The following is a 912-nucleotide window of genomic DNA, read 5'->3' as shown; positions in this document are numbered from 1 at the left end:
TGTGGTTAGCTATGGGTCTACTATTGATTTCTTATTAACAACCTTTTATTTTTAAAATGGAGACTGTATAAATCTATAAGACTGCTTTCCCTGAACCAAAACCTTGGGTACAAAATCTGACAAATGTTTTCCCCCCTACTTTTTATATTCATGCATTTGTAAAGCATTGTGAATGCTTATAAGTTAAATTCCACTTGACCACATATTTAATGAAGCACCTAGTAAAGAACAGAACATAAATATCTAAAATGGGAAAATCACCAGAGAATCTGAATACCAAGGCAAAAAACCTGAAGGGATGGTGCCATAGTTTCTTGTCTCCTCCACAGCAAAAGCTCATTTTCCAGCTCACAGACACTTTCAAACTGGAAGGATTTTGAAGAAAAATCTGCTACCATCTTTTCTATATCCTGTGATAAACTACAGTTCTCATGAAGACAAAGAGTTTGGTCACACAATTGGAGCTGGCAGAAACATTTTTTTCAGCTCCTTATTACCAAACAAGATGGAGTCAGTCAGTGTTCTGTTGTGAGAAACTTGCCTTTCAGTCTGGTTGGTTTATAAGCTTTTAACAAACTGTCCTGAAGATGGCGCCACGTGCTTAGCTATGTTTTCTACCTGTATCATTTGGTGATTTCTGAAACCACTGTCTAAGGAACATACACAGACTTATGGGAAGATCTGTAGGAAATGCCACCTTGAAATGATATTCCTGTGTTAAGTATAGATATAAAACTAAGTCACCCAAGGAACAATTTGATTCAATTATCTTTAAATTTTCAGTTAGGAGAAGGAATTACGGAAAACAAATACAGTCATTGCTGTTCTGAGGTACATCAGTGGCATTTTCTGAAAGCCAAATTCCATCTCTAATCTTGTACTTTCTCCTTTGTTCCCTATTTGTAGCCATCC

At 36.3% G+C, this 912-nt stretch overlaps 1 annotated feature.

Moving 5' to 3' along the window:
• Window positions 658-707: an enhancer, noted in NCBI's record as "active region_16834". NCBI's record gives its function as "activates an Ori minimal core promoter by ATAC-STARR-seq in GM12878 lymphoblastoid cells {active_cell/tissue: GM12878}" and the evidence as "EXISTENCE:reporter gene assay evidence [ECO:0000049][PMID:35858748]".

Source organism: Homo sapiens, chromosome 2 (genome assembly GCF_000001405.40).
Source record: "Homo sapiens chromosome 2, GRCh38.p14 Primary Assembly".
Taxonomy (NCBI): Eukaryota; Metazoa; Chordata; class Mammalia; order Primates; family Hominidae; genus Homo; species Homo sapiens.
Note: the sequence above shows the minus strand (reverse complement) of the source record. Positions and strands in the feature narration are given on the sequence as shown.